The following is an 18,108-nucleotide window of genomic DNA, read 5'->3' as shown; positions in this document are numbered from 1 at the left end:
TCTTCCCTTCTCTTCTATCTTCCCTTCATTTTCTGTCCCATTTAAGTCCTGTCCCTCTCCACCACCACCTCAGGCTTCAAGAGAATGTAACTGATGGATTGTCTTCCAGGACAGAAGAGAAGGGAAGACAAAAATAGTTTTTTAAAAATGATTTTTGGTGGCACTGAGGTTCCAATAACAGTGTTCAGTATATCACTGTTATTTGATTGAAAGTACCACCCCTTCCTTGTTCAGGGGTGGTACTTCCATCAATTAATAAAATACAGCATTATAAATAAAATACAGCATTATAAATAAAATACATTATTTATCATTTTTAAAAATTATTTTATTTTATTAAATAATGCCTTATTTTATTAACTGATGAGAGTACCACCCCTGAAAAAAGAAAGGGTGGTACTTCCTATCAAATAAGGGTAAGTGATTTTTGGTGGCACTGAGGTTCCAATAACAGTGTTCAGTATATCAGCAATGCCATTTTGTTCCAGTGATGGCAACTACACTTATAAGTTGTCTTTTACTCCACAGAAGCATTCTAATCCCAAAGGAATCCAATCCTAAAGAATCACGGTCAGTGTCTTCATGGTTAAAAACAAAACAAAACACAAACTGATGTGGCAGGTTGCCCTTTTGTTTTGCATTATTCAGAGACTTCAATAATTTTATTTTCCATGGGTTTCTACCAACCTCGTTTTATTATTCTTCTCATTCTTTCTTTTGCTGAATTTTTATTATACCTCTCATTCTTTCTTTTGTTGGATAAAGAAAATCCAGTATTAAAATGGGTACCCCAAAAAGAGTACTGTGAGGATTTCCTAAACTGCCATTCTTTGTCCCATTTAGGGGTACAAAGCTATGATTCCACAAAAAAACAGGTGATGAGAGGTTAAAGATGTTAAATAGACAAGAGGGTTGATCTCGGTTGTCTACGAAGCTTTACGCTTTTCATAAGTGACTGCAAGAAAAGTGACTACTATACAGAGTTGTATAGCTCTGTGTTTCTGTGTCTGTGTGATAGAAATACTTAAGAATAGGCCAGGTGTTGCAGCTCACACATGTAATTGCAGCACTTTGGGAGGCCAAGGCAGGCAGATCACTTGCAGTCAGGAGTTCGAGACCAGCCTGGCAAATACAGTGAAACTCTGTCTCTTCTAAAAATACAAAAATTAGCTGGGTATGGTGGCATGTGCCTGTAGTCCCAGCTACTCAGGAGGCTGAGGCAACCCAAGAGGCAGAGGTTGCAGTGAGCCAAGATCGTGCCACTGTACTCCAGCCTGAGTGACAGAGTGAGATTCTGTCTCAAATAACAATAATAATACTTATAGTAAAAATGAATGCAGAATATAGAGTAGGAATTTGAAGAGTCTATGGCATCAAACACCAGAGTTTTAAGCTCCATCTCTGTAGCAATACTTCTCTATGAAGTGACCTTTTGTCCTTCGAGGATGGAAGCATGCCTATTGTTCCTAGTATATTAGGGAGGCAGAAATCATTGTGGCTAAAGGCATGCATTGTGGAATCAGTCTTGGCTTGGAGTCTCAGCTCTGCACACACATGTTGAGAGGTCTTGGGCAAGATAACCTATACTCTCAAGGCCTCAGTTTCCTTATCTGTAGACTAGCAACATGAGATACATAGTTCATGTAAAGTGCCTAACATGATGCCTGGCTCAAAGTTAGCATTCCATAAATGCTAGTTGTTCTTATTCCTATAATATGATCTTCCAAGGTCACTGGCATCATCACCTCTGAATTACAATAGAGACAGTGCCATCTACTTTTCTCCTCACCTATCTCCCAGCCCAAACCTCAAAACCAACCAACCCTCAAGGTTAGTGTTGACAGTAAAAATACTCACTGTGTCCTTGTCACTGTTTCAGCGTTTCAACTCCTTGTTTATACATAGAGTCTATGCTGAATTATCTGCACTAATGAAGCAGAGCAGGATGAAGGATAATCCAAGAGGCTAATCTTTGGGGGGCACCCTCTGACTTCTGTGGAGTAGATTTACCCTGCTAATTATATAGCTGTATTTGCTTGGGTTGGTGTTAACATTCAACTGCATTCCTGAAGCATATGTCAGCTGGGGTGGGGAAGGCAGCCAGAAGTGTGCTAAGCATCAGGGGAAAACTGGATCAGGCTTAAAAATTAACCACAATTAATTCCATAATGTGGATAATAAAAAGTTCACTGTGATTCTAAGTTTCCTTTCAACTCTAAAATCCCAGAGACCATACAACACCTTGAAAAGAATGTGCTCCATCCTCTCTCTCTGTCGCCAGTACATTGCCCCAATGTTGAAGAAGCAGCTGTAACATCTAGTTATATGACCAGTTTTGTTTCTGCTGGGCCAAAAATCTGGGTAATTGTATCAGGACTTTTCTGTCGCATCAGAGAATTACCCACAATTATGTGAGAAAACGAAAATGTCTCTAACAGATGCACGCTCTTTGAGCAATCACAGGGAAATGATGACAGGCAGCTGAGAGTATTTGGGCTTGTGGAGTATTGATCTTCCCCAGATGAGAAGGGTTAGCTATTGAGACAGAGAGGCTGGGACAGGGTGGAGGAGTGGAAAAGCAATGATGGAAAGGAGGCAGGAAGAAAACAACAGAACACAGAGTCACCTGAGTTTTTCTTTGCTGTGCACAAAACGCACTTTCTTCTCGTTCACATCTTTCCAGCTAAAACGGCCAGCCTTGTCCAGCTGAACCTCTTTTCCATTTCTTGAGAGCACTAGCTGACCATTGGTGGGAGTGCTCACAACATGAAATAGGAGATCTTCGACCCTACCCTCCTGGTCTTGGACATTCAGGAGGGAAAAATCCAGTGGCTTTATTGAACCAATTGGGAGGATCAGGGAACCATTCACATGAAGACTAGGGGTGTGTATTTTGCCTGAAAAACATATGAATCCAAAGGTCAAGCTTATGGTACCTTCACTAATTAGGTCACTTTCCCCTTATTTTGTTTATTTTTTCAGACCACCTCCTTACAATTTCCAGAGAATAAACACAAAATAAGAAACAGAGTTGATTTCACTGCATAAACAGTGTGCTGGAGTTTATAGCATTACATTGTTACAAAAGACCACAACCGTCAGCTCGCTCTAGGGAACTTCGGTATTCCTGAAGAATACACATGATGTCTCTTTGCCTGCCAGTGGGAGGTCCTCAGGTGTGAGTAACTGCTCCTGTTCTTTGACACACGTTCCATATAGAAGACATGGAGCCTGGAAACTATGCCGATGGCTGGAGTAGGCCATTCCTAATTCCATGCCAAACTAAAGGCTAATGGCTACTTTCTTCTTTTAAAGAAGCTTAGGTGAGAAAACAATTCCTAATTCCAAACCAGTACCTATCTTTACCACCGCATCTGCCAAACACCACTCTCACTTCCTGCTGAGCTGTGGCTCTGACTCAGACATGTTCCCCTCTTACAGGCAGCTCCAGCTTTCCTTTCAGCTGCCCTCCGTGTGCCAACCTTTTCTTAAAAATGTTAAATAAGCTTGTAATGTTGTAAATTCAGAGCTGCACAGATGAAATTCTGGGCTATGGTATACAATAAGCCTCCCAGTGGTTACCACACTGGATGCACGGCAAGAGCATAGGACTTCAATGTAATCGTTAAACTATAAAACTCTTAGAAGAAAATATAGGAGTACATTTTTACGATTTTGAAGTAGACAATGCTTTCTTAGATAAGACACAAAAAGCACATGTGACAAAAGAAAAAATAAATGGACATCATCAAAATGTAAATTTTTTATATTCAAAGGACACCCATGAGAAAGTGAAAAGACAACCCACAGAATGGGAGTAAACATGCAAATCATATATCTACAAAGGGACTTGTGTCAAGAATATATAAAGAACTCCTATAACTCAACAATAGAAAATGAAAAACCCAATTTTTAAAATGGGTGAAGAATTTGAATAGGCATTTCTTCAAAGAAGATACACAAAAGGCCAATAAGCACATGAGCAGGTGCAAAATCATAAACACAATAAGATATCACTTCACTTCCACTAGGAAAGACAATGAAAATTGTTAGGTCGTGGAGAAATCAAAACCTCATGGATTACTGATGGGAGTGTAAAATGGTGTAGTCACTTGGGAAAACAGTTGGACAGTTCCTCAATTAAATACAGTTACCAAAGGACACAGCAATTCCACTCCTGGGTATATAAACCCAAGAGAATTGAAAACATTTGTCCACACAAAACTTGTACACAAATGTTCATAGCAGCATTACTCATAATAGTCAAAAAGTGAAATCAACTCAAAAGTCCATTCATTGTTTAATGGATAAATAAAATGTGGTATGTCACAAAATGTAATATTACTCATCTACAGAAAGAAAAAGGAATGATGTGCTGATTCATGATATCATATGGATGAACCTTGAAAATATTATGCTAAGTAAAAGCAGCCATACATAAAAGGCCATATATTGTAAGTTCCATTTATGTGAGATGTCTAGAATAGGCAAATACCTAGAGACAGAAGGAGATTAGTGGTTTCCAGGGACTGGGTTGAGACAGGAGCGGAGAGAAACTGCTAATATTATGGGATTTCCTTTTAGAGTGATGAAAATGTTTTGGAAATAGGTAGTGGTGATAGTTGCACAACTTTGTGAATACACTAAAAACCACTGAATTGTATACTTTAAAGCATGAATTTTATGGTATGTAAATTACATCTCAATAATAATAAGAATCATATAGGGATCTTTTAAAACAATACTGACAGTTGGGCTCCACTGCCAGAGCTTCTGACTTGGATGTTCTTGGGTAGGACCTCGGGAATTTTACAAACTCAGCAGGTAATCCTAGCGGGCTGCTGGCTTTGAGAACCACAGTCCTATCCTGATGCACCTGCCACATCAGACCTGCCAAGGGCAAGTAAAGAGGCTGGTGTTTGCTACCATTTCCTAGAATAGCACCAGTTAATTTACACTGGAGTAGGATTATCAGGGGCTCATACTTAGAATTCATGTGAAATACACATACCTTGTCTTACAATTTTATAATCTTTGTCCACATGAAACATCTGATGGACAAAAAGGGATTTCTTAACATGCTGTAGAATTTATCCCGTCTCCTGCAAGTTGTTTTTGCCTGGACTTTAGTTGGTAGTGCTCCTTTTTACAACTAGGTCAGACAGGACAGTTTGGAAATGCCAAGTTTCAGTGGGACTACTTCGACTGTAAGATCGCTCTAATGAGAGTGGCACTCATTTTCACAAGTGGACTTATATCCCAGAGAGAAGTAAGCTGGCTCTCAAGTACTTAGGGTTTTCAGAAAGATTCCCCAAAAATAAGCCAAAAATATTTTTTCCCATGGGGAAGTCTTAATATCTTTAAAGGCCAGAAATATAGAGACAGAAAATATGATTGAATATGAGTGTTAAAAAATGCCTCATGTTTTTGACGAACGACTCTCAAAAGCCAACAAACACTCAGAGTAATGTCCCTCCCAAGCTTTACTCACCATAAAGGTTTTGGGATTCAAAATTAAGACTGAATTTAAATTCACTTCTCTTTGTTATTTAAGGTAACGTGTCCACTAATGTGTTGGAAGAGAATGGCTTCATTTCTTAACATGTTACCTATTATTATTATTATTTTTGAGACAGAGTCTCACTCTGTCACCCAGGCTGGAGTGCAGTGGCATGATCTCGGCTCACCACAACCTCCACCTCCTGGGTTCAAGAAGCGATTCTCCTGCCTTAGCCTCCTGAGTAGCTGGGATTACAGGCGTTCATTACTGTGCCTGGCTAATTTTTGTATTTTTAGTAGAGACGGGGTTTTGCCATGTTGACCAGGCTGGTCTTGAACTCCTGACCTCAGATGATCTGCCTGCCTCGGCCTCCCAATGTGCTGGGATTACAGGCGTGAGCCACCATGCCCGGCCGATGTTACATATTTTTAAGGGCAAACGGGGTAGCCTGAAATCCATCCACTAGAAACATGTGAACCTCATGAAGCAGACTCCTCATACTATTTGTTATTTATTTATAATTTATCTCTACTGTGTGAAAAAGGGTGTACCACTGCACTTTGACATAATTAGCTATACAAATTTATATAAATATAAATAAATTATATGTAAATACAGTCATGTGCTATATAACATTTCAGTCAACAACAGACCACTTATATGATGGTGGTCCCATAAAATTATGCTGTACCTTTTCTATTTTAGATATGTTTAGAAACACAAATACTTACTATTGTGTTACGATTGCCTACAGTATTCAGTACACTCACATGCTGTACAGGTTTGTAGCCTATATTTTTATAGCCTTGGTGTGTAGTAGGCTATACCATCTAGGTTTGTGTAAGTACACTCCATGGAGTTCAAACAATGATGAAACTGCTTAATGATGCATTTCTCAGAATGTATCCCCATCATTAAGCAAAGTGTGACTGTATATATGTAATTTTCTATAACATGGCTGTAGTTCAGGAACTTAGCTAAGTTTTATGCCAATTTCTTATCTGATAGCTGTGACTTTTAAGGCACAGATTGCTTCTTTTCCTTTCCAATGATTACAGAAGTTGCGATTTCCCAATTTTCCATATTCTATAAAGAGTCCCTTACTCCTTAGTAGCACCATGGGTTTTCCCAAATTGGGAATGCTGCATTTTATATCACATAAGTCAATTATGTCTGCAAACTCAGCCTTCACATAGAGAAATTATTGGTAAATTCACCAGACCATCTGAGGAGAAGCACTTACCAGAACATGTTTCATTAGAGGTGTGGACAGAAAAGCCAGGAACACAGTTGTAAACACAGAGGCCACTCTTCAGAAAGAACCCATGGTCACAGAGGTGACAACGGTCCCTGTGGCTGCACTGCAAGCACCCCTGAGGGCAGGCTATTAAAAAAGGAAACACTAAATGAGGCTCAATCAAGGCAACACCAGCGACAAAGAAATAAAGGGCTTGCAACCAGAAGAGTCAGAGCACATGCAACAAATGAGCCCCAACTGTAACAAAAGAGAATACTGACAGTTTCCCTACAGAATATATAGGGAGCTGATCTACAGAGAGGAACACTCCTCACGTTCCACAATGAGATCTAAAAATGTTACACAAAAATGAATTGTTTAAAAAGTTAACCATATTGACTTGTAAGAAAAGACCTTTGTAGTGATTAAGAGCACAGACTCTTTCTAGGTACGCTTCCTCCTCTAACCTTCCCAGCTGTTGACCTTGGGCAAGTTCTGTTTAACAATCGGTGTCATAAATTTCTTGTCTTAAAAATGGGAACATTAATAGCACCTAGTGCAAATAATTGTTGGGAGGATTACATGTGTTATAATGTGCAATGACGAAAACAGTGCCTGGTACACAGGAAGGGCTCAATTTTTCTACTACCACCATTGTATCTCTTATTATTATTGTTTTTAGTAGTAGTATTTAATAGTATTTTAAATACTGGAGGGGAGCAGCTATTAATAGGACATAGGATTACTTATTCAGGTCAAGTTAACAATTTTCAATGAAGCATTTTTACTGCCTAATTTTCCTGCTTTCTTAGTTGAGATTTTGTTATAGAGAGGCTATACGGTATAGTTTAAAGGGCCCCGGATTAGAATCAGAAAACCTGGGCTTAACATCTGATCTTAAGCTGCTGTGATTAACACTTTTAAGTCTCTTATTTTTCTTTCACTTGTAAGACAGGATTCATAGTGTCTGTGATATTTTATCAAGCCATTGTGAATATTAAATTAGATAATGCAAATGGGGTAAATTTAGTGATATGTAAATGCTATGCCGGGTTAATAGCATTATTAAATGTCAAGTATTACAGTGGGGCATACGAACCAAGTTTTGATAGATATGATGAGAACAAACTGATAAAACTCTCTTAGCTAATCCAGTGGACAAGGAGATTAAGACTTGGGGTTCAACTTGAGTTTCATAAAAGCTCCAGTGTGTTTCACTGAATTGTCCCCAAAAATCCCATTCTTTAAGGATTTATGCCAATGTCAGAATCATGGGCATTTAGTCTAAACACTAAAAATTCTATGTCTATATCAACAGGGCTGATCCACTCTTAATGGATCCCTCACTGTAGATCAATAGAAGCGTTACATTCCATAAAATATTGGCTTTGTTTCCATAAAGACCTTTGGGGACAATATTGATTTGTGTAAGAGAATATTGGCTTACACTCCTATATCCTAATTAACCAACATACGGCAGATATGCATGGGAAGCCATCAATTACTTAGGCTAAGCCCTCTGGGCTTTCATTCTGCTTTCTAATTTAAGTATTCTTGGATACCTGAGAGTCAGCACATGTGACTTACTTGCTGCCCTCACTTCTTTCCAGAATAATCAGCAGTCTCCAAGTTACCTGTGCATTTGTGCTTTGCATGATCTGCAAAGTACCCCTTCCCACATTCCTGGACACACTGGGCTTCCAAGAGGAGAAATGGCCCTTTGCAGCGGGTACACTCATGGGGACCTTGGCACTGGAGACAGTAGCTGTCACAGTCTGAAAGACAAAAGTCAAGTCATCAGGAATCTGTGTGGCTTTCCAGGGGCTCCAGGCCTTTGTGGAAAGGCAGCATGAGATGTCCAGCAGCAGTACAGCCTAGTGTACTGGGCAAAGGACCATATGAAGAGTCAAGGAGTCTGGGTTCTGGTTGTCACTATGATACTTACCAGCTGGGACACTTAGGATTAGTCACTCTACCTCACTGAGCCTGTGTTCTTCTCTATAAAATGGGGGTTGATATACTGTCCTACCCACCCATGGAAAATGCTAGATAAACTATAAAGTGAATGACAGATATCAGCAGCTATTACTATTATTATTATTATTATTATTTAAGACGGAGTTTTGCTTGTTGCCCAGGCTGGAGTGCAGTGGCACAATCTCGGCTCACCGCAACCTCTGCCTCCCGGGTTCAAGCGATTCTGGCTTAGCCTTCCTGAGTAGCTGGGATTACAGACATGTGCCACCATGCTCGGCTAATTTTGTATTTTTAGTAGAGATGGGGTTTCTCCATGTTAGTCAGGCTGGTCTTGAACTCACGACCTCAGGTGATCTGTCTGCCTCCGCCTCCCAAACTGTTGGGATTACAGACGTGAGCCACCATTCCTGGCCTAAGCAACTATTATTATTATTATTATTATTATTATTATTATTATTATTAGTCCTTGGCTCTCAGTACTGTTTTGCTGAAATGTCAACCTTTCGTGGTTCATCAAGTCAGTTTTCAGTCCCCCAGGAATACTCCTAGGAATGCTCTCTGTGCACTTTTGATGGGAATTTCAGGGTCTGAGAATTTTGTAGTGTTCAGTTGAGGCTAAAAGGGATACTAGGCCAGAGACAGATGATTGTGAGCTATATGGTATACAGAGGGTTGAAGGGGGCAGATAGTGAAATAATCGGGTCTTCCTATGTGCCCAAATGCCCAGGGTACAAACACCTTCCCACCTGGAGGACCTGACTGTTCAATTTTTAAGAAAATCTGAAAGTAACAGCTAACACATACCTGTTTGTGTGGTCCTATATGCCCAAGATTCCCATATTGCCCTCAAATTTTAGCAAATGTCTTATTAAGGCATGGAAGATGAAAAGGGGAAATTTTCATGATAACAAAGATAGCTCTTAGGAAAGAAACCAGAAATGGGGTAAAAAGCCAGAAGGGGAAACTTGCCACTGTTTCCTTCTGAGAACAGTACAAATCAGAGGTGGCCAAGGTATGGCTGAGCACAGAGCAGGGCCTCTACACACTTACTCTTGCAGAGGCCCGAGTCCTGGTAAAATGATGACAAGCACTGCTCCACGCAGGCCCCATCCTGGAGAACATAGCCATCCATGCACTGCAGGCAGTCTGTTTTCAGGGGCCCACTGCATGCACTGCAGCTCCAATCACACTCTAAAAAGAAAGTCTGCATTAGATTATCTTCCTTTCTGTCCACCCTCAGACCCAGCAGTTCATTTATGAGGACTCTGTCTGCAGCTGCAAGGAGTAAAATAAGGACAACGTAAGAGATGTCAGATAAGTAGGCTCAAATGAGGTTTCCACTTGTAGTAGCCTGAATGCTTCTCTGAGGTTTAAGTGTTCCCTAATTATGTTAGACACGGACATGTACAAGGAGCACTCTATGCTTGTGCTGAGCCTGCTTGTTGGCAGGGCTGCTGAGAAACCAGATCACTCTGGTCTTAGTTCTTTATCCCTGTGCCATATCAAGTCTTCATGCAAAACCTGCCGCAGGGAGTGGCCAACTTGCCCCACAAACCTAACCCTGACTTCTTCCAAATACTCAATGCTCAATAGGTAAAGAGATGTCAGACACTCAACTAAGAATGCATCTGCTGCCACCAATAACACCAGCTGCATGGGTTTCTATCTCTCAAAACCAGGCATTGACCAAAGTGACAGAAAGAACCAATGATGTCAGAATTATATGGGGCATAAAGGTGCTGTCCAGAAAGAAAGAGGTTGCTAAAACAATAGAAGGTCTCATTTAGGCATTAGAACGGACTCAATTACATGTTAATTTGCTCCATAAGCACCTATGGGATAGTCACTGAACAGCAGGAGGGGGCAATATAAAGGTGGTAGGTGTAGAACTTGTCATCAAGGAGCTTATGTTCTAGAGGGGTCTAACCTTGAATGTGCATGCAAATAATCCAGGGGGGTTGTTAAAAAATATGGATTAGGCTCAGCATCAGATTTATCAAATCAGAGTCTCAGGGGTTGGGTTGGGGCACAGGAAAACATGTTGCTGCTGTACTTGTTATTGTGAATATTATAGTTGTTGCTGTTGCTGTTGTTTTTAATGGCCCAGGCAATTCTGACGCAGTCAGAAAACTCATGTTTGAAAGCCAGTGTTGTAGCTGGTAAGGGAAGTGCTACCTGCATGGAAGATGGGATGGGATAGCACAGTTAAGTGCATGGGTTTTGAAGAAAGGTAAGTCTGTATTCAAGTCATGGCTTTGCTACTTTTTCTCTATATTATCCTACAATCATGTTTTTATCTATATTATCCTGGTTTCTCACCTGTAAAACATGGGTGAGAATAGTACCCATTTCATAATGTTAAGAAGAATAAAATGTGAAGAATAAAATGAAATAATGAATTTAAATAATTTAGCACAGTGCCTGGCATATAGTAACAACTCAATAAATGTTTGCTGCTGAACTGTTTCTCTTAGAGAACCTATCTCCATTCAGGGCCACCCTCGATCTCACCTTCCATTCCTGCTAAGAAACTGGAGAAACCTCTCATTAGTTACCTTTTCTCTTCCTTGGTAGAATATTTCTAAGTCCCAAAGAAATCAGGTAAATGTGCAAGACAGTACACGTGCTTCCAAGATTTACAAAGTTAATCCTATTCCTTTATTTAGCTGAATCAGTCCTGAGGGAAAATGACTAAAACAGAGCCTTGAAAACTGCCAGCACAGTTATGAAATCATTTATAATGGAGTGGATTTGTGATAATCTTGTTTTTCACCACAAACTGACAGCTACTGGTTAGAAGGCAAAAAAAAAAAAAAACAAAAAAACAGAAAAAAAATTCTGTGGTCTCGAGCACAGCAGACCACCTAAGTTGACAACGAAGTAGAATTTCTTGGAATGGAAAGTGTGCAATTTTGCAGAGCCTTAAAGCATCCTAAGTTTACTTGACAGATGTTTGACCACCATATCCAAGCTCTAGCTTCTCTGCCAGAATCAGAGGGATAGAGAGAAATGTGGAAGGAGTCAGGAATGAGGAAATGGACAGGAGCAAGTAAAACCTGTTCTTTACCTTTGCTTTCCTGTTGCTGAGCACTACCATTCAAAGTGTGTAAGCCCCGAGAATTCCAACTACTGGAGAGCAAAGAAAAAGGCACTTGGCATTTGACATTATCTCCTTATAAATTTCCTTGAAGACAGGGACTACGTCTTCACTCATTTAAGTATGTTAAGCAGAGATGAACACATCAGACACGACTCCTGACCTTATCAAGCTTGGAGGTAGCAATCTCAAGTTGTAAATGCAAACACCTACAGCCCAGGAAAGTAATGTATCTTCAGAATAGGCCTTGTGTGATAGAAAGGGAATGGTGGGGACTGCTGAACTGAAGAGATCCTGTTCCATCCAGCAGGGACGACAGCTACACCGTTTCAACCTACGGTTGCACTGTCAGGATACATATCCAACATTACTAGAGCTTCACTGTCAGGATACATATCCAACATTACCAGAGCTTCTGGTTAAGAAAAAACCAACAACACTTGAAAATCTCAATTTTTGTATGTGAAATCTTCTGATTTTTAAAAGGCAAATAATTAAAGATTTTAAAGCATTGAAACATTAAGTAGACAAAGAAAACATGTCTATGGGCCATATATAACCTGAGGATTTACAATTTGCCACCTCTGGTCTTGTTATCAAGACGTGGCACAACATCTGACACAAATAGGTGCTCAAAAATATATGCTTAATAAGTAAATAAAGGAGTGAATTAATGAATATATACATACACACACAATTGTTGCTATCATCAGAGACAGTCAAAATATATGATGACTGGTGTTTTCCCAATATGGAAAACTAGACATCAGTAGTAAAGTGGTATCACTGTGTAAAAGAATCTTTACACAATTCAGGAAGAGCTTTACCTTTGCACGTGTTGGTGGAGAAGTCAAGATAGTACTGTGGGGCGCAGCTCTCGTATTGACATTCCCCAAAGAGCAGAACCTTGTTTGGATCTCGGCAGGAGGTACAGCTGGCCTGTGAATCACAGCTTCCACAGTGTGTGTTGCATGCTGAGCAGACAGGAAAAGAAAATGACCAGATGATTACAATTGCAAATACTGAAGCACTGATCAAACCTAGACAGATGTTGCATAGGAACAAAGCCTTGTTCCAACCTGCTCTACATTTCATTATGGCTCATAGCCCTCCCCTGTGATCAACAAAAACAGAAAATATTAGTTTCCGAAATAGAAAAGGGTAATCTTATTTTACAAAGAATATAAAGTGCAAACCCAATAATGGAAATCCCATATCCAAATTGCTCTGTGATTCAGCAACAGAATTTATGCTTACTCTAAGATCCCTGGAATTATAGTTCAGAACTTAAACCTTACTTCTTCAGGAATCAAGCCCCCTTAAGTTCATAATGTAGATTCAGGTTTTTGTGTGATGGCAACATTAAAATTAGGCACCAACTTTATTGGGGAGCTTGGGAAATCCCATACTTTAAGATACAAAGGACTTGAAGGTGAACTGGTTTATTGATTTGCCTAGTTACAACTCTTAGAACCCAGCCACATAACTCTGACATTCAGGGATGATCCCCCAATCTGGTCATGCTTCCATCTTCCCTTATTTAACAACTGGCATTTCTCCATCTACACAGTTGTTCATGCCAGAAACCTCCAAGTCTATCTTGACACCTCTCTTTCCCTGACTCCTAATCCAGTTACTCACTGGATCCTATTTATTCAAACTCTCCGATATAACTCTCAGAACTTTTTGCTTTTTTCCATATCCACAAATGCCAATATTTCTAAGCCATCATCATCCCCTGCTGAACTACTATCACAGCCTCCTAATTGGTTTCCCCATCTCCGCTCTGACCCCCTTGCAATCCATTTTCCATGCATCCACCAGAGTGGGTTTTAAAATTCATACAGCTCAGGTTTCAGAGTACACTTTCGCCTTCAAACTCAATGTCATTTTTCAATCCTGGAAAATTTCCAGCCATCATTTCTGCAAATATTGCTCCCCTACCATTCCCTCCATTCTCTCCACCTGGAAATCCTATTATAACATGCATATTTGAATCCTCTTAATATAATCTCCGAGTCTTTAACTCTTAACTCATTCTTCAGTCTCTTCTTCTGGGACCTTTGTTAACTTTCTATTCTAAAACAGGCCTTGCATTATAGCATGCTCTACATGTTTTTCATGCCATGTATAGCAATTTCCATTTGAGTGATTATTTGATTAACATTTGTATCTTTTAGGCTGCAAACTTCATGAAAGCAAATAACAGGTCTGTTTTGTTCCTTGTAATGTTAGTCAGCACCTAGCTGGTTATCTGTCATATTGTAGGTGTTCAATGAACACTTGCTACATAAAAGAAATAAAGCCAGATATTGCATAAGGTATATACAAGCACCAGCATTTCTGTCTCATTCTGAAATCTTCTCTAAGTACGTGTCAGAGGAAAAGTACAGAGAGAAACCCAGTGAGTTTTAGATCTATATGATATCAAAGTATATGGCACAGTGCAGGAAAATTACCTCCCTGAAAAAAAAAAAGAATGCTATTGTTTCACCTACAAAGAAAGACATTGTTATAAAACATTCATTAGAATATGCATATTGATAATTTAAGGTCCTGGGAAAATTCTAGACTGGATTTTCAGTTCTAATTATTTTCAATAATTAGAAAAGAATATTTTAACTGTTGTAAGCTTAGATGAGACCAAATTTTTATCCCTTTTTTTTTGCTAGAATTTTTATGCATGGTGTATCTTAATTTTGGCAAAGTGTTTGATAGAGATTCCAAAAATAAACTTGTGAATACAAAAATGAAGTGAGACCTACTAGTTGTAAGTGGATTTGAAGGTGGTTGAAAAGCATACTCAAAATATGATCAGCAAATCTTTATAATTGATAAAAATAGGTCCACAGCAGAGTATCACATTAATTAGGCCTTAATTTCTTACTTGATCAATATTTTTATCCATGACTTTAATAGAAACAAAGAAACCATGTCAATAATATTTAAATATGCCACATGCACCTATATAGAAAACATACATAGTTAAGTTTCACCAGCTGGAAGAACAACAGTTCAGTTACCTTAACCAGTTGAAATAATGAACCTACAGTAACCAAGTGAAATAAGCAGAACTCTAAGAAAAGTCCCGCATTTATGTTCTAAAACCAACTGTACAAATACAGGATGAAGAAGACCTGCTTAGATAGCAGTTCCTATAGAAAAAAAAAAATCTAAGATTTTTAGTCAGTAACAGTCTTGATAGTAACTAAAAATGTGATGATATGCAACATAAGGGTCAGCTGGTCCTCTTTTCTTGACATAGAGCTGCAAAATGAGGTCCCCGAATGCCAGTTCCCCAGCCAGGGGTCAAGGCCAATTTCTTGCCCTAGTGTCTGAGGGTTTCTTATGACTTACTTCCACCTGCCGCTGTGTTCCTGAATCTTCTTTTTTTTTTTTTTTTGAGACAGTTCTCACTCTGTCACCCTGTCACCCAGGCTGGAGTATAGTGGCATGAACACAGCTCACTGTAGCCTCCACCTCCCGGGCTCAAGCAAACCTGCTTCAGATTCCCATATAGCTGGGTCCACAGGCACATGCCACCATGCCCAGCTTATTTTTTAATTTTTTCTAGAGACAGGATCTCACTTTTTTGCCCAGGCTGGTCTCAAACTCCTGGCCTCAAATGATCCTCCCACCTTGCTCTCCCTAAGTGGTGGGATTACAGGTGTGAGCCACTGTGCCAGGCCTGAATCTTTCTACAAAGTACTCATTCCCCCGTGGAACCGTGATGTATACCTCAGCACCTTCACTCACTTCTAAAAGAAATGGATTCATGCTGAGCATTTTGAATTGCTGGAAGACTTTATGGAGGATTTGGAGGGACACAGTAGTGTCACACTGAGAAACAGGTGGCTTCCATGACTTCTTCCTCTTATCCCTTTCCAAAGTAATGAGTAAATGGCTGACCCTGTCTGACACAGAGCAGTTCTGTAGGTACCAACGTCCCTCGGGTTCTCAGCTTCCGTGGTATTACATTCAGACCCCACAAAGTACTTACTAGTACTGACGCAGACATCTTGGTGTGGCCACACCTGGAGTAGCAGGGGCAGTTCTCTGAGGTCAGTGACCCCCACAGCAAGTGCAGGAGGACAGTGAAAAAGTGGCAGAGTCGACCAGAAACCACTGAGGGAAGCTGGGATGTGCTGTAACCATCACATCTGTGATGTGCTGAAAGGGCAGAGGGACCTCACAGTGTGGGGGTTCAATCACCTTCTTAAACAGACTTGTTTTCTGCTGTAGGTCTAAGAAATGGTCATCCACTCCTACTTCAATACTCCATTGGCTCTGGGTCTACATGGCACAGAGATGTCAAGGTGGGGAATGACAGTAATTGTGTGAATGAAGGAGGAAGCTTATTCTATACCACTTTGGAGGCAAGTTCTAGGGCCAATTAAAAACAACTTTCCAACTACTCTAGCTCCCCAGCAGTGGAACCGGCTTTCTTCCGTGGAAGTCTGTGGGGGTGAGTGAAAAAGAGTCTCTGCACTGGTGCAAGATTGGCTTGAGTAACTCTGGAATTCTCCTCCAATACCAAAGCACTATGGTTTCAAGTACTCAGAACCTTACATATCATCTCTTTTTTAAAGTTCCTACCTCAACTGGTGACCCTTAGATTTTTTAATTCAGTTAATAGTACATCCTCTCGAAAGATTCCTATAACTAGAATATCTGGAAAGCTCTCCAGTCCTTACTTCCTTCAATAATTTGGTTATGACTGCCTCCCTTAATACTGATTACATTTCCTCAAAAGCCCTTATTGCAGAATTTCTAAAATTGGCAGGCCTATAATTGTCTATAATTATGAGTATTAGAATAGAGCGTGTTGAATCTTTTTTTTTTTTTCTGAGACAGACTCTTGCTCTGTCACCCAGGCTGGAGTGCAATGGCGTGATCTCAGCTCACTGCAGCCTCCGCCTCCCAGGTTCAAGCGATTCACCTGCCTCAGCACCCCCGAGTAGCTGGAATTACAGGTGTGCACCACCATGCCCTGCTAGTTCTTTTTGTATTTTTGGTAGAGATGAGGTTTCACCATGTTGGTCAGGCTGTTTTTTTTTTTTGTTTTTTTTTTTTTAATGTACTAGAAACTCAAATATCCCAACTTAGGAGCGTATTTTTTCAATCTCAGAATGAAATTTAAGGACTAAACTTAGGAAATTCTTAATCCAACTGAAATATTCTATGAAATTCTATTTACATGGGATCATAGCAAATGTGTTTGTGCAGAGGCCACCCTGCCCCAAGACAAAAACTTCCCAGAAGAGAAATAATTCAATGCAATGTATTTTTGTCACCTATACTTCATACAATGGATTCTATTTTTTCTTTTGAACTTTTATTTCTGTGATTCCACTGCTGTGAAGAGCCTAATAAATCTAAGTCACTATTTCTCCACCAGCACTCTCTTGCTCCTGAATAGAAGATGGAAGTATTTCATTCCTGTCTCTTATATTACAGAATCTACAGATTCTGGCAGACAGTTGATATACACAAAGCAAGGTTTTTGTTACAAAAGCAATCTTCCCACTAGCCCAAAAAAGTTTGTTTTTAGATCTCCAGTACCTCCACAGATGATGCAAAAGGGTGAGTTTCATATAACTAATGCAAATCTTTGCAAGGATCTCAATAAACTAACAGTAATATCTATCTTCCTATCTATAAAATAGAAATATCTTTACTACTTTATTTGCCTCTCATTTTAGATGATGATGATAAAAACAAAATAATCGTTAATCAATACTGACAACTTATTCTCCACTATGGTCTGTATTAAATGTAATAACATTAGAATGTAGGTATTGTTATTATCTTCCTTTTACAAAAAAAAGAAACTGAGGCCTAGTGGTTAATTGGCTTGCTCAAGGTCATAAAGCTCTAAGTAGCAGTTAGGATTTGAACTTCAATTCTCTGACTCTAGAGCCCACTCTCCTAACCACTACTCCACAATTCCTTCAGCATGGTACCCCTAGAACACACAACTGAAATACTACCACTATATTTGTTAACCATCATTTTCAAAAGTATAACAATTTTTTGTTTTTGCAAATGACACTTTGGTGACTGAGATAAAATAAGTGGCATCAGCCTATCATAAATGTTCCTTCATCTGTGAAGTATATCTTAATTTTTTTTCAGGCAAATTTACCCATTCCCTAATTTATCCTAACCCTTTGTGCCTGACTCAAGGTAATTAATCATATTCTGACTTACTTGAGAAATAAGACATCTATATAAGTAACTCCCATACAAGTCCAAATAACTACTGTTTGGGCAGAAATGGAATATTTCCAGCATGCA

At 39.6% G+C, this 18,108-nt stretch overlaps 1 protein-coding gene and 1 pseudogene across 2 annotated transcripts in view; both read right to left on the bottom strand.

Moving 5' to 3' along the window:
• Positions 1 to 18,108, bottom strand: part of FRAS1 (Fraser extracellular matrix complex subunit 1) — a 486,947-nt gene that overhangs the window by 161,647 nt on the left and 307,192 nt on the right. For both annotated transcript variants that reach the window (NM_025074.7, NM_001166133.2), the window contains exons 23-27: positions 12,639 to 12,785; positions 9,765 to 9,905; positions 8,372 to 8,512; positions 6,744 to 6,884; positions 2,627 to 2,897 (exon numbers count right to left, since the gene is read on the bottom strand). In NM_025074.7, the coding sequence (NP_079350.5) occupies positions 2,627 to 2,897; positions 6,744 to 6,884; positions 8,372 to 8,512; positions 9,765 to 9,905; positions 12,639 to 12,785 (841 nt within the window). The remainder of the gene's footprint in view (positions 1 to 2,626; positions 2,898 to 6,743; positions 6,885 to 8,371; positions 8,513 to 9,764; positions 9,906 to 12,638; positions 12,786 to 18,108) is intronic.
• MICOS10P4 (MICOS10 pseudogene 4) lies at positions 2,965 to 3,433 on the bottom strand (annotated as a pseudogene).

This window comes from Homo sapiens, chromosome 4 (assembly GCF_000001405.40).
Source record: "Homo sapiens chromosome 4, GRCh38.p14 Primary Assembly".
NCBI classification, from domain to species: domain Eukaryota; kingdom Metazoa; phylum Chordata; class Mammalia; order Primates; family Hominidae; genus Homo; species Homo sapiens.
The sequence above is the reverse complement of the archived record's forward strand: the minus strand, read 5'-3'. Positions and strand labels throughout refer to the sequence as shown.